Below are 13789 nucleotides of genomic sequence, written 5' to 3' on the forward strand. Positions count from 1 at the left end.
ACAGTAGGTGAAGGAGTGAAGAGGAAGTAAAGCCAGAAACAGAGTTCTTAGGGAAGCTGGCTATAAAAGAGGAAAGTTTATGAGTTTAATGGGAAAGAACTATTTTAAGAACTACTAGGAAAAAGGAAGAGGCAAGCATATATGGGGTAGAAGAGGTCATCAATAGTAGTTTTCTAAGAAGGAGATAGGATCCCAAGCATAGATGACATTTTGGCCATGGATGGGAGGAACATCTGTTGTAACAGTAGGAAAGGATAGGATGGCTGTGGATATAGTAGGTTTGTGTGTTTGGTAAGAGTTGTTGCAATAATTTCTTTCTGATGGTTTCTATTTCCATTGTGACATAGTAAGAGTCAAGGAGGTCCTCTGTTGTGAGTCTGGGAAAGAAGGATATGTGTTCGAGAGAAGTGGTCATCATGGAGCATGGGAGAATGAGTCAATTAGAGAGGCTTCGTAACATTTTAGGTAAATCAGGCGATCCTGAATGTGTGGATCTCATCTGGCCTGTTGAGAACTTCTCCAGCTGTGGTGGGATGCTTGGGGCTAAGCACAGAGAAGGCAGATAGTTGTGCTCATCTGTGGTTGGGGTTTTGTCAGATGGATTCAGTGCAAAGATAAAGGTGCACTAAAAAATGAAGGATAATGAGAAGGGTGTTACTGAAACAATAGCCTATGAAAGTCTAAATAGATGGGGAGCGAAATGAAGAGAGAAATGAACTAATGTATGGAGACAAGCTGGAGGAGATCTATCCCAATGAGGTTTTTTTTTTAAAGGCATAATGAGGATTTTTTAAAAAATGAATTGCAAGGATAGGAGCTTGCAGACGAAGGGCAGGATGCTTGAGTTGATTTTTGGAGATAGTGTGTACTTGCAGGTTGTGGCAGGGTTCCTTGTGTGACTTTGATTACAGGTGGCCACTGCGGGTTAGGGATAGTCATTGGAGATGAGGAGGCTAAAGAGCCGAGAAGCCAGAGTGTGGATAGCTTATTCTTGGTCAAGTCACCAAGGATGATGACAGCAAAAGGAAAGGAGACAAAACTGATGATTCATTCAACTCATATTTCTTGTACTCTTACTGTGTGCCAGGACTGTTCTAGGCACTAGAGTTACAACAGGCAAAAATTCCTGCCATCATGGACCTTACATTTTAGTGGAGGGAAGGAGAAGATTCAGTAAATAAGTTATATTTATATGAGAAGACGGTGAGGCCTGTGGAGAAAATACTTGCTCTTTCATTATGAGATTGCCTACTCAGTTTCAAAGCAGGGGAGGTTATAACTTAAAAAAATTTACACTGGCACCTATGCTTAATTTCTAACTCTGTTGGAGTTTTGGTCTTCGTAACTTGATTTTTGGAGAAACGGAATTAATCTAAATCAAATTTATTCGTGTTTGAGAATGCTTGATACATTGAATTGGGAAGTAGAATTCATTTTTTAAAATTATTTAAGCCCTATATTAAACCATGTCCCATTAATATAAAGCAAACCCATTAACATCCTTTTATACAATGTTAGTTGGGTCAGCTGCACATAAAAATAATTCTAGTATGGCCTATACTGGAGAATATTTTTTCATTTCTATAAATAAGACCTTCAGGCTTTTGTGGCATCTTATTTACTTTGAAAACACACACAAAGAAAGAGGGGAACCTCTGATTAAAACACAAAATCTAGCTCATTGAAAGATTTCTAGCATAATGAAAGATTTAACATAACTGTGGTAAAAACATGAAGGCTGCATCTATTATTTGAGAAACGGCAGAACTGTGTGGTTATGGCATGCATTAGGCTCTTGGTTCCCCAGGAGAATGCCTTTGCCTTGGAAGAAAAAGGTGCATTCATTCTTTGAGGTCTGTAGTTTCCTCAGCTCATCAGAGCACAGGCACATTCTTTTCTACGTGAAGAGTTTTGTAAACTGAACTTTGTTTTCAGTTCCGGCTCCAGCCATCCTCGGGTAGCTTGCCAATAGATGAATCCCACTCGTTTGACCCATGACGCTCCTTCTTTTCATTTCTCCCTCTTTCCCCACAGCAGTGCATGTCCACCATACCACCTGAGAGTCTGTGGAATCTAATTTTCTGTTATACTTCTTTCCTTACACTCATTTTCCTGTCTTTATTATGATAGTCTAACTTTTTCTCCTCAAAGGTATAGCTGCCTTGCTTTCATGAAAACACACTTTCCTATTGTGATTTATCAGAGGCCTTTCCATATCTCAGCCACTATGCTATGACAGATTTTATAATTAATAAGTGCATTTCAAAGTGAAAACGTTACAAACATGCTTAACAGATGTTTTTATAACATGAAATATTCTACTGCGTTAAGATCAAAATGCTGACTATACTTGTTCCGTATACCTTCAGACCACTGTTAATGTAATATTTTGGCAAGGTGAATGGTCTTTTTTGGATATAAAAATCTCAGCATAAGCCAGGCATGGTGGTACACAGCTGTATTCTCAGCTATTTAAGAGGATTGCTTGAGTCCAGGAAATCAAGACCAGCCTGGGTAACATAGTGACACCCAGTCTCCATTAAAAAAAAAAAAAAAAAAGAATCTCAGGCATATACAGGCATATATTTAAAAGAAATATTCTATCTGGACCTTTCCGTGATAGTGAATAAACTTGATGAATACTGACTGACTTGATCATTTGCAATTAGAGTTCATGTGGAGAAAGTAAGATTTTAAGCACAATTAACTTATGAATGAATGTATCCATTCACTGACCTTTTCCACATTAGTCTTGATTAATTTTTTTTTCCTATTCTCTAGACAGTGGAGGCTGCTAATTTATTCTACTGATACAGTGAGACCTCATATAATAAATTGGGGAAAGAAACTGGTTAGCTTTTTGTTTTATTTTTAGGCTGAAGAAACTATAGAACCTATGTGGAACTTACACACTTCTGGTAGATACATAATCATTTTCAAGAACAATTGAGTAACATATAGTAAAATGGCAGATGCTTAACCCTGCATCCTAGGAAATCCCCTCCCATAGAAACTCTTACACAGAGAGTCGTGCACAAGAATATTGATTGTAGATTATTCCTAATTCTTTTAATGGGAAAAAATCTAAAAGTCCATCATAGAAGAATGATTAGTAAATTGTGATGTACTTACACACTGGAATACTACCATACAGTTGATAAAATGAATGTAGTTGACCCACATCTGTCGACATGGATAAATCTAGAAAATATAGTGTTAAATTTTAAAATGTAAGTTATAGCATGCTATATACAGCATGGTGTCATTTATATAAAGTTCAAAACCTGAAAAACAATACTTTATAAGGTTATAGTTAGTAAATAATGTAATAAAAATATTTTAAAATGCTTGAGAGTAAACACCGAATTTGTGGTAATGAATACTTCTGAGGAGAGAGAGAAGGAACTAAGACCAGAAAGGGTCCCCACTGTATCTATAATGTTATATTGCTTTATTTTAAAAGATATAAAGCAAAATTGACATAATATTATGTTTTAATAAAGCTGGTAGTTTTTTTTGTATTTCATTTTATGGGCATATGTTTTAGTCTGTTCTTATCTAAGGTATATTTAAAATGCTTTCTCATTTAAAACCTCCAGTACTTTTTTTTTTTTTCCTTGAGACAGAGTCTCTCTGTCTCCCAGGCTGGAGTGCAGTGGCTCGGTCTTGTCTCACTGCAACCTCCGCCTCCCAGGTTCAAGTGATTCTCCTGCCTCAGCTTCCCAAGTAGCTGGGATTACAGGCACCTGTCACCACGCCCAGCTAATTTTTGTATTTTTAGTAGAGATGGGGTTTCGCCATGTTGGCCAGTCTGGTCTTGAACACCTGACCTCAAGTTATCCACCTGCCTCAGCCTCCCAAAGTGCTGGAATTATAGGCATGAGCCACCGTACCTGGCCAAAACCTCCAATACTTTTTAAACCATTATAGATCCCCCAAAATAATACTGGTATGTACAAACTCAACTTAGTGATAAAGAGATGGAAATATCTCCATCTATCACTCAGGACTGTCCATAAACAAGGGAGGCAAAGAGCCCAACCTGAACAAAATGGTGATGTTCATTAAGCTGGTCCTCAGCCTGCCTCTTGCTGGTATACTTGCCTGTCTTTAAAAACTTGAACTCTATCCTGTCAATCCAGGGAAGGATCTCATTTCATTCATTTTAATTATCATCACTTTAGTTATATGGTTGCTTTACTTTTCTTATGGACATTAGAAAATAAAAGTGAATAGACAAGATATATTTCATATGATATAAAGACATATTTCATATGCTATAAAGAGACAAGCCAGTACTTATCTGGAGCCTACCAATTAAGATAAATTCTTTTAAATATTTAGTCTTAAAAACAGAAATTATTTTAAAATTATGAATTGGCTAATTTTTTCCAAGTAAGTGCATTTTCATGTTCACCTGCTTTGTATTTAATATAAATTATTGTGTTGAGGCCCCATTAACAGCCACAAGTTTTTAGTCAACTTCAAAAATTTCTACTCAACTCTTATCTGTAATCCATTTAGATTTGTATCTCTTCCCATCAATCATGAATACATAAGGTAATATTTTATAGTTGGAAAGCATTGCTTAATATATTGAATCAATAAAAATGTTGATTTCATATATTTAATTTTTATAATCTTTACAGATTACAATACTGTGATGAGACTGTTCCTGTAACTTTTGATCCACACACAGAATTTCTTGGTCCTCAGAAGAAAACAGAACAAGTCCAAAGAGACATTGGATTTTGGTGTCCAAGGCATCTTAAGACTTCTGGGGGACAAGGATATAAGTTTCTGGGAATTGACCAGTGTGCGCCTCCATGCCCCAACATGTATTTTAAAAGTGATGAGCTAGAGTTTGCAAAAAGTTTTATTGGAACAGTTTCAATATTTTGTCTTTGTGCAACTCTGTTCACATTCCTTACTTTTTTAATTGATGTTAGAAGATTCAGATACCCAGAGAGACCAATTATATATTACTCTGTCTGTTACAGCATTGTATCTCTTATGTACTTCATTGGATTTTTGCTAGGCGATAGCACAGCCTGCAATAAGGCAGATGAGAAGCTAGAACTTGGTGACACTGTTGTCCTAGGCTCTCAAAATAAGGCTTGCACCGTTTTGTTCATGCTTTTGTATTTTTTCACAATGGCTGGCACTGTGTGGTGGGTGATTCTTACCATTACTTGGTTCTTAGCTGCAGGAAGAAAATGGAGTTGTGAAGCCATCGAGCAAAAAGCAGTGTGGTTTCATGCTGTTGCATGGGGAACACCAGGTTTCCTGACTGTTATGCTTCTTGCTATGAACAAAGTTGAAGGAGACAACATTAGTGGAGTTTGCTTTGTTGGCCTTTATGACCTGGATGCTTCTCGCTACTTTGTACTCTTGCCACTGTGCCTTTGTGTGTTTGTTGGGCTCTCTCTTCTTTTAGCTGGCATTATTTCCTTAAATCATGTTCGACAAGTCATACAACATGATGGCCGGAACCAAGAAAAACTAAAGAAATTTATGATTCGAATTGGAGTCTTCAGCGGCTTGTATCTTGTGCCATTAGTGACACTTCTCGGATGTTACGTCTATGAGCAAGTGAACAGGATTACCTGGGAGATAACTTGGGTCTCTGATCATTGTCGTCAGTACCATATCCCATGTCCTTATCAGGTAAAAGCTATCACTTGGATTATGTCTCTATTTACATTTAATGTAGAAAATGTTTCATGGAAATATACTTGTCATGGATGTAAAAGTTGATTTCAGGTGAGAAAATACAAGAGCCATAGGTAAGGATTTCCTATACATCAACTGAAACTGGGATGAATGTTTCATGACTTCCTTCCTCAAGCTTTAGCTTCAGTTGTATAGTAAAGCACTTCCTTTATTCTCTGAAAAATTAAATTGAGCTGCAAAGGCAGATTAATAGCAATAAAGAGCAGAGTCAGAAGAACAGACCTTGACATTGGGAGAAAAACAGAAGTCACTTTTGTCGCATTGGCAATTATTTTTAATTTTTTAGTTAGTAGTAAAAAATCTTATTTGGATATATTTAATTTGATCATATTATCTTATAGCTTTTTACATAGTATATACTTACAAAAACAGAATTTGCTTTTTGCCTGACTCATCTGTCATTTCTCAATTGAAAAAAACACAGTTGTAACAAAATATGCTTTATCTATTTCTGATTCTTATGATTAGTATAAGGGTGGTGTTTTTAAAATTAATAAAAGTAAATTTCTGAAAATATAAAATTTCTTAAAGCATTTTAGTTGAAGTTTTGTAAATAGAAATTTGGTTTTGTTTTAGTAGATTTTAGACATTATTCCTGACTCTGTGCGGTATTAACTGCATTGAACATGAGCACTGCCATCACAGTGTATCAAATTAAGCAATGGGAATGTCAAACTATTTCATATAATAGCTTATATTTCAGAAAGTTACTGCTTTATAACATTGTGGAATCTATTTTTTATGTTGGTATGTGGGGATACTAGTTTTACTTGCCTTATACGTTGTCCATAATCTATTATCCATAGTTTGTTTTTACTATATACTTAATAAGAGGCTGTGTCTTAAAGTGATCCTGCTATATTAATAATGACTCCTAGTTTCCTCAGTCTTTTTGGCAAGGTTGGGGAGAGGAAACTATTACATATTATTAAAAAGTTTAAGATCTATGGTTTTCAAGTTTAAGATCTGTAGTTATTATGTTTTATGTAAGAAACTGTAAAATATAATAGAATTAGAAAATTATAATCTTCAAGTGGAGAAGGATATAATATTCCTGTAGTTGTAGAAATTATAAAAGATTGCTAAATTTGACTAAGTAAAAAAAAATTTTTTTAAAGATTCTGCGTGACAAAAAAAAACAAACAAACAATCCATAATCAATGTCAAAAGACTAACTGGGAAAGTTTATTTGCATATGACATCATAGCTGAAAGGCTAATTTCTCTAATTTATAAAGAGTTGCTACAGATCAATAAGAAAAAAACCATCCATCTGATATAAAAATGAGAAAAGAGTAGGAAAAAGGTTCACAGGAAATAAAAATGAAAAAACTATTCTTAAACATGTGAAAAAGTTATAGTAAAATAAATGTAAAATTAAAATTAAATTATATTTCCATGTATGATACGGCAAACATCTTAAAGGTGTTCTAACCACTGTGTGGTGAAACAATAAATAGCAAAATACATATTTTCAGACTTTGCTATTAAGAGTTAGTTCAACCTTCTGTTGAAGCAATTTCGCGGTATGTACAGATGTATAATGTGTGTACACTGATACTGCCCTTCTGGGAATTTATAGACAGATTTGCTTACAAATATGAGAAATTAAATAATACCAAGATAGTCACTACAACATTATTTGCAAATGACAATAGATTGGAAGTAAGTATCTATTAACAGGGATAGTAGAATAAGTTATGGTTCACTCACACAATGCAACAGCCTTTACAAAGAATAAAGAGCTCTGGCCGGGTGCGGTGGCTTACGCCTGTAATCCTAGCATTTTGGGAGGCTGAGGAGGGCGGATTGCCTGAGCTCAAGAGTTCAAGACCAGCCTGGGCAACATGGTAAAACCCTGTCTCTACTAAAATACAAAAAAATTAGCCAGGCATGGTGGCGTACACTTGTAGTCCCAGCTACTTGGGAGGCTGAGGCGGGAGAATTGCTTGAACGCGGGAGGCGGAGGTTGTAGTGAGCTGAGATCACGCCACTGCACTCCAGCCTGGGTGACAGAGTGAGACTCCATCTCAAAAAATAAAAATAAAATAAAAAATAAAAGAAATAAAGAGCTCTATTTGTATTGATACAGAATGGTCTCCAAGAAATATTAGTAAGTAAAAAAGGCAAGAAATGCAGAGTATGTAATATCGTGACCCTTGTGCAATGTTTAAGGTTAGAATTTCAAAGTTTATGCCTGAATAAAAAGTATAATTTCAATTCTTAGGAAATTTTCGCATTTTACTGATACTTAATTTACTTTAACCAAGTTTTTATAATATAAATATTAATAACGTATAAAAGCTGTAAAATATTTGTTATGATGAGTTTAAATGTATTTTTGTGGTAGATTATAGTGGGGGAAAATAGGTACATATTTAGAGGCAAATATTCTGGCAATTATAAGAGGCTACTGTATCTATCGAGAAAAAAATGCGAGGAAATCATGCCAAGATTTAGGAGATTATTCTTAAATATATTTCAGTATTTTCCCCTTTCTAGAGATTTGGTACATAAAGTTTCTTTGTTCAGCATTTAGATAAAAAATGTGTTGCACTTAGAGCATGCTTCATTATATTATTTCAAACCTTTTTAGTAAAACAGTTGAAGATTTATAACTTTTGTTCGTTTTATATTGACAATATAGACTTCTTTCCACTTTAAGTGCATCACTGAAAATATTATTATTCACTATTTTTTGTAGGCAAAAGCAAAAGCTCGACCAGAATTGGCTTTATTTATGATAAAATACCTGATGACATTAATTGTTGGCATCTCTGCTGTCTTCTGGGTTGGAAGCAAAAAGACATGCACAGAATGGGCTGGGTTTTTTAAACGAAATCGCAAGAGAGAGTAAGAAACTATTGAATTGTCTGACACAATTTTTAAATAAATAGATCAAAATACCAAGGAACTGTTCAAATCAATGTACTAGAGTTTCATTATATCAACTATTATTTCAATTTGATTTGCCAACTGAAGTTTGGAAATTTTTTTTATGAAAGAGACGTGCTTTATTTTTGCATTTGTTACAATAGTCTTTGACATATACTATTTATCATATAGTATATGTCTGTGACATATACTATTCTATTTGAAATATGAATGAATGATTTATGAAAGGCATATTTTCTTTTCATGATTTATAGTATATCCAGTATTATTACTGCTGTCATTGGATTCATTATTTTGGGTACAGCATTTTAAATAATTTTATCCTTTTTATCAAGGATAAAAGATTAAGACTTAAGTATATATAAAGAAACCTATAAAGTATGATTCAAATATAAGTGATGTGTTATGGTCATTATTTACTAACTTTAAATCTTATTACACACAGCTATGACCTAAACTTTCACTTATTTGTCTTACTTAAGATGTTAAAATTCAAACTTATGGAATATTCTATAACAAAATTGATTTATATTTATGAGTAATTCATTTTAGTTTTATATATATATATATATATGCACACACACTATATACAAGGTACTATAGCTTTTTAAAAATTGTTCCCCATTGGTTTGCTTAACTCATTTCAGAACTGTAGACCATTTCACAAATAAGTTTCTGAAGTCTGAAGAATCGTATTCAACTGGATTTTTTTGCACTATTATTATATGTCTATCTCATATTTATATACTCACACTAATTTCAGTGTAACTTGCTAATTTTTAACGTTAGAAAGAAAAGACTTATATTTAAATGAAGACCGTTAATTATATTCTCTATCCTTTTCTTCTGGTTTACTTTTATATTACATATTTATATATTATACAAATACAGTATTATGTATAGTACGTTTATGCTGTTTTGAGCCTCCTTGCCCTCATCCTTTGATTCTTGCCTTAATTTCTTGCCAGTTTACTATTTATACTGACAAAAGCAACTTAGAGTGTATACACAAAAGATTTTATAAAATCAGTTTATGTCCTAGTATTTATAATCCCAGATTTTATAATATAAACCATAGAATTTTCAACTTTAGTGACTAAGGATTTTTGGCAAAAGATATGTGATATCCTTTATATCCTCTACTTTATAGCCACACTTCTAATTTGAGTAAATCCTCTCCTTCAATTTTCTTATAGTCCAATCAGTGAAAGTCGAAGAGTACTACAGGAATCATGTGAGTTTTTCTTAAAGCACAATTCTAAAGTTAAACACAAAAAGAAGCACTATAAACCAAGTTCACACAAGCTGAAGGTCATTTCCAAATCCATGGGAACCAGCACAGGAGCTACAGCAAATCATGGCACTTCTGCAGTAGCAATTACTAGCCATGATTACCTAGGACAAGAAACTTTGACAGAAATCCAAACCTCACCAGAAACATCAATGAGAGAGGTGAAAGCGGACGGAGCTAGCACCCCCAGGTTAAGAGAACAGGACTGTGGTGAACCTGCCTCGCCAGCAGCATCCATCTCCAGACTCTCTGGGGAACAGGTCGACGGGAAGGGCCAGGCAGGCAGTGTATCTGAAAGTGCGCGGAGTGAAGGAAGGTGAGATTTGATTTTATGTAAAATCATCACTATTTTAAATACTGCATTACACATTTTTTATTAAAGCATAACACATTTGGAAAGCATTTTGTGATATATTATGTCTGTACTCTTACCCCAAGGAAGTTTGGGTTCAGCCTATAAATATGCTATTTAGTAGTTTAATTCTTAGCTTTGAGAACAGCTTTAATATAGGTGGTTCAAGTAGGAATGTTCATTTCTGTGGCAATTGTTAAGAGTTCCTTGTACATTTAAGTAAATGCAATTTACCCAAAATACAGGCTAAGTTTTAATTAATACTACATTATAATTCTGTCTAAAAAGTGTCACCTTATACAAAATTATAATGTGTCATTTTATCTAAAATTATTTTATTTTCTGAACATGAAAAGATATTGACATTATCTTTAATGAATTTTCTCAAATGGCCATAGGTGACCAAAACACAGGTAAGCCAGAATGCAGACAGCTAATTGCATTAAGATCTCAAGGTTATCTTACCTAGTCCTCTCAGACTAGGCTAAATGCACCTTCTCTGTGATCCTATGGCAGCTTTCATATATTTGGATTGTAATTAGATACATGCTTTATCTTCTCGTAGATTTGTAACCTTCTCAATGGGAGAGCTAAAGTCTTACTCATCTTTATGTTCCCAGTTTCTTACATGGTACTGATCCATGGTGGGAAATCAATAAAACATTTGTTAAACTGAGGACAGGAATCCTGCCTTATTCTATTCCCCACAAGATTCCATGTTCAGCCCTATATATATAAGTAGTGCTTGATGAAGTTTCTGAAGTAAGTGAAAATTATATTTTAAACAATTATTTGGCCAGGCACGGTGGCTCACGCCTGTAATCCCAGCACTTTGGGAGGCCAAGGTGGGCAGATCACAAGGTCAGGAGATCGAGACCATTCTGGCTAACATGGTGAAACCCCATCTCTACTGAAAATACAAAAAATTAGCCGGGTGTGGTGGCACCCACCTGTAGTCCCAGCTACTCGGGAGGCTGAGGCAGGAGAATCGCTTGAACCCAAGAGGTGGAGGTTGCAGTGAGCTGAGATCACGCTATTATTGCACTCCAGCCTAGCAACAGAGTGAGACTCTGTCTCAAAAAAAAAATTTGTATTTTGAAGTGTTAAAGTACACCTGAAGACTGTTAGCTATTTATTCTCTGATAAAGGTGGACACTGGTTAGGGGTGAAACTCATGAAAAATGGCATCATATTTGTGTTTGTGGATGTGTGTGTGTCAACTTTTTTTCTTTTATCTAGGATTAGTCCAAAGAGTGATATTACTGACACTGGCCTGGCACAGAGCAACAATTTGCAGGTCCCCAGTTCTTCAGAACCAAGCAGCCTCAAAGGTTCCACATCTCTGCTTGTTCACCCGGTTTCAGGAGTGAGAAAAGAGCAGGGAGGTGGTTGTCATTCAGATACTTGAAGAACATTTTCTCTCGTTACTCAGAAGCAAATTTGTGTTACACTGGAAGTGACCTATGCACTGTTTTGTAAGAATCACTGTTACATTCTTCTTTTGCACTTAAAGTTGCATTGCCTACTGTTATACTGGAAAAAATAGAGTTCAAGAATAATATGACTCATTTCACACAAAGGTTAATGACAACAATATACCTGAAAACAGAAAATGTGCAGGTTAATAATATTTTTTTAATAGTGTGGGAGGACAGAGTTAGAGGAATCTTCCTTTTCTATTTATGAAGATTCTACTCTTGGTAAGAGTATTTTAAGATGTACTATGCTATTTTACTTTTTTGATATAAAATCAAGATATTTCTTTGCTGAAGTATTTAAATCTTATCCTTGTATCTTTTTATACATATTTGAAAATAAGCTTATATGTATTTGAACTTTTTTGAAATCCTATTCAAGTATTTTTATCATGCTATTGTGATATTTTAGCACTTTGGTAGCTTTTACACTGAATTTCTAAGAAAATTGTAAAATAGTCTTCTTTTATACTGTAAAAAAAGATATACCAAAAAGTCTTATAATAGGAATTTAACTTTAAAAACCCACTTATTGATACCTTACCATCTAAAATGTGTGATTTTTATAGTCTCGTTTTAGGAATTTCACAGATCTAAATTATGTAACTGAAATAAGGTGCTTACTCAAAGAGTGTCCACTATTGATTGTATTATGCTGCTCACTGATCCTTCTGCATATTTAAAATAAAATGTCCTAAAGGGTTAGTAGACAAAATGTTAGTCTTTTGTATATTAGGCCAAGTGCAATTGACTTCCCTTTTTTAATGTTTCATGACCACCCATTGATTGTATTATAACCACTTACAGTTGCTTATATTTTTTGTTTTAACTTTTGTTTTTTAACATTTAGAATATTACATTTTGTATTATACAGTACCTTTCTCAGACATTTTGTAGAATTCATTTCGGCAGCTCACTAGGATTTTGCTGAACATTAAAAAGTGTGATAGCGATATTAGTGCCAATCAAATGGAAAAAAGGTAGTTTTAATAAACAAGACACAACGTTTTTATACAACATACTTTAAAATATTAAGGAGTTTTCTTAATTTTGTTTCCTATTAAGTATTATTCTTTGGGCAAGATTTTCTGATGCTTTTGATTTTCTCTCAATTTAGCATTTGCTTTTGGTTTTTTTCTCTATTTAGCATTCTGTTAAGGCACAAAAACTATGTACTGTATGGGAAATGTTGTAAATATTACCTTTTCCACATTTTAAACAGACAACTTTGAATACAAAAACTTTGTTTTGTGTGATCTTTTCATTAATAAAATTATCTTTGTATAAGAATTATGGAGTATTCTGTGGTTAGGTATAGTAGTTCTGGCCAAGGAAGTAGTATAATTTTTTAGATTAGTGACTCCATGGCTGGTAAGTCAGAGGCTTCTTTTTAACCTTGAAGGAGAATGCAGTCAAGATTCTTGCTTTTTGTCACTATTTCTTTCCAAAAATGTAAATTATAAAGCTATATTAACTGTAACTTTTTAAAGCCAGTGGGAAAGATCTGGAGTGTGAGGGGTGAAGCAAAAGGAACCCAGGACCCAGTTTTCACTCCTAACAGTGTATTAGGTGATACAGACAAACCTCCCAAAACAGAAGGCTAGAATATGTGGATGAAATAAAACAATAGGCAGATTTCTGTGATGGGGGAAAAAAAGAAATAAAATAATATTAACCCCAAACATTAAAAAACTAATAAGATAGTGAGGAATTGCCAGGTTAAGATCTGGGAGAAGAGAGAAATTCTCACTACAAAGCCCAACATTTGGAGCTGTTTTGCCCAGGAGCACTTGATGACTTGGAAAGGGCAGCTGAGAAGTGGAACAGTGCTATTGACAGCCTCAAAGGGCTGGAAGACAAGGGGTCTGCAACCACCCTACATTTAGAATTGTGACCTCAGAGGGTTGGATCTTAAAAGTACATGTGAGTTGTACATAAAGCAGCCCTGCTTCAAGTTGTCTGGGTAGATAGAAAAAGTTCAAACCCTGAAATTAGATTAAGGTAGCTCAAGCACCAGGTAAATGAAAATCTTCTCTGGAGGAAG

The 13789-nt window shown here is 34.5% G+C and overlaps 1 protein-coding gene across 5 annotated transcripts in view; it reads left to right on the forward strand.

Annotated features, from left to right (window-relative positions):
• Positions 1-13035, forward strand: part of FZD6 (frizzled class receptor 6) — a 34373-nt gene extending 21338 nt beyond the window's left edge. For 3 of the 5 annotated variants that reach the window (NM_001164615.2, NM_003506.4, NM_001164616.2), the window contains 4 exons: positions 4650-5667; positions 8437-8585; positions 9824-10234; positions 11510-13035. In NM_001164615.2, coding sequence (NP_001158087.1) covers positions 4650-5667; positions 8437-8585; positions 9824-10234; positions 11510-11678 — 1747 coding nt within the window. In that variant the 3' untranslated portion in view covers positions 11679-13035. The remainder of the gene's footprint in view (positions 1-4649; positions 5668-8436; positions 8586-9823; positions 10235-11509) is intronic. The other 2 variants (NM_001317796.2, NR_133921.2) reach the window with 2 other exon arrangements.

The sequence above is a fragment of the Homo sapiens genome, chromosome 8, assembly GCF_000001405.40.
Source record: "Homo sapiens chromosome 8, GRCh38.p14 Primary Assembly".
In the NCBI taxonomy this organism is placed as follows: Eukaryota; Metazoa; Chordata; class Mammalia; order Primates; family Hominidae; genus Homo; species Homo sapiens.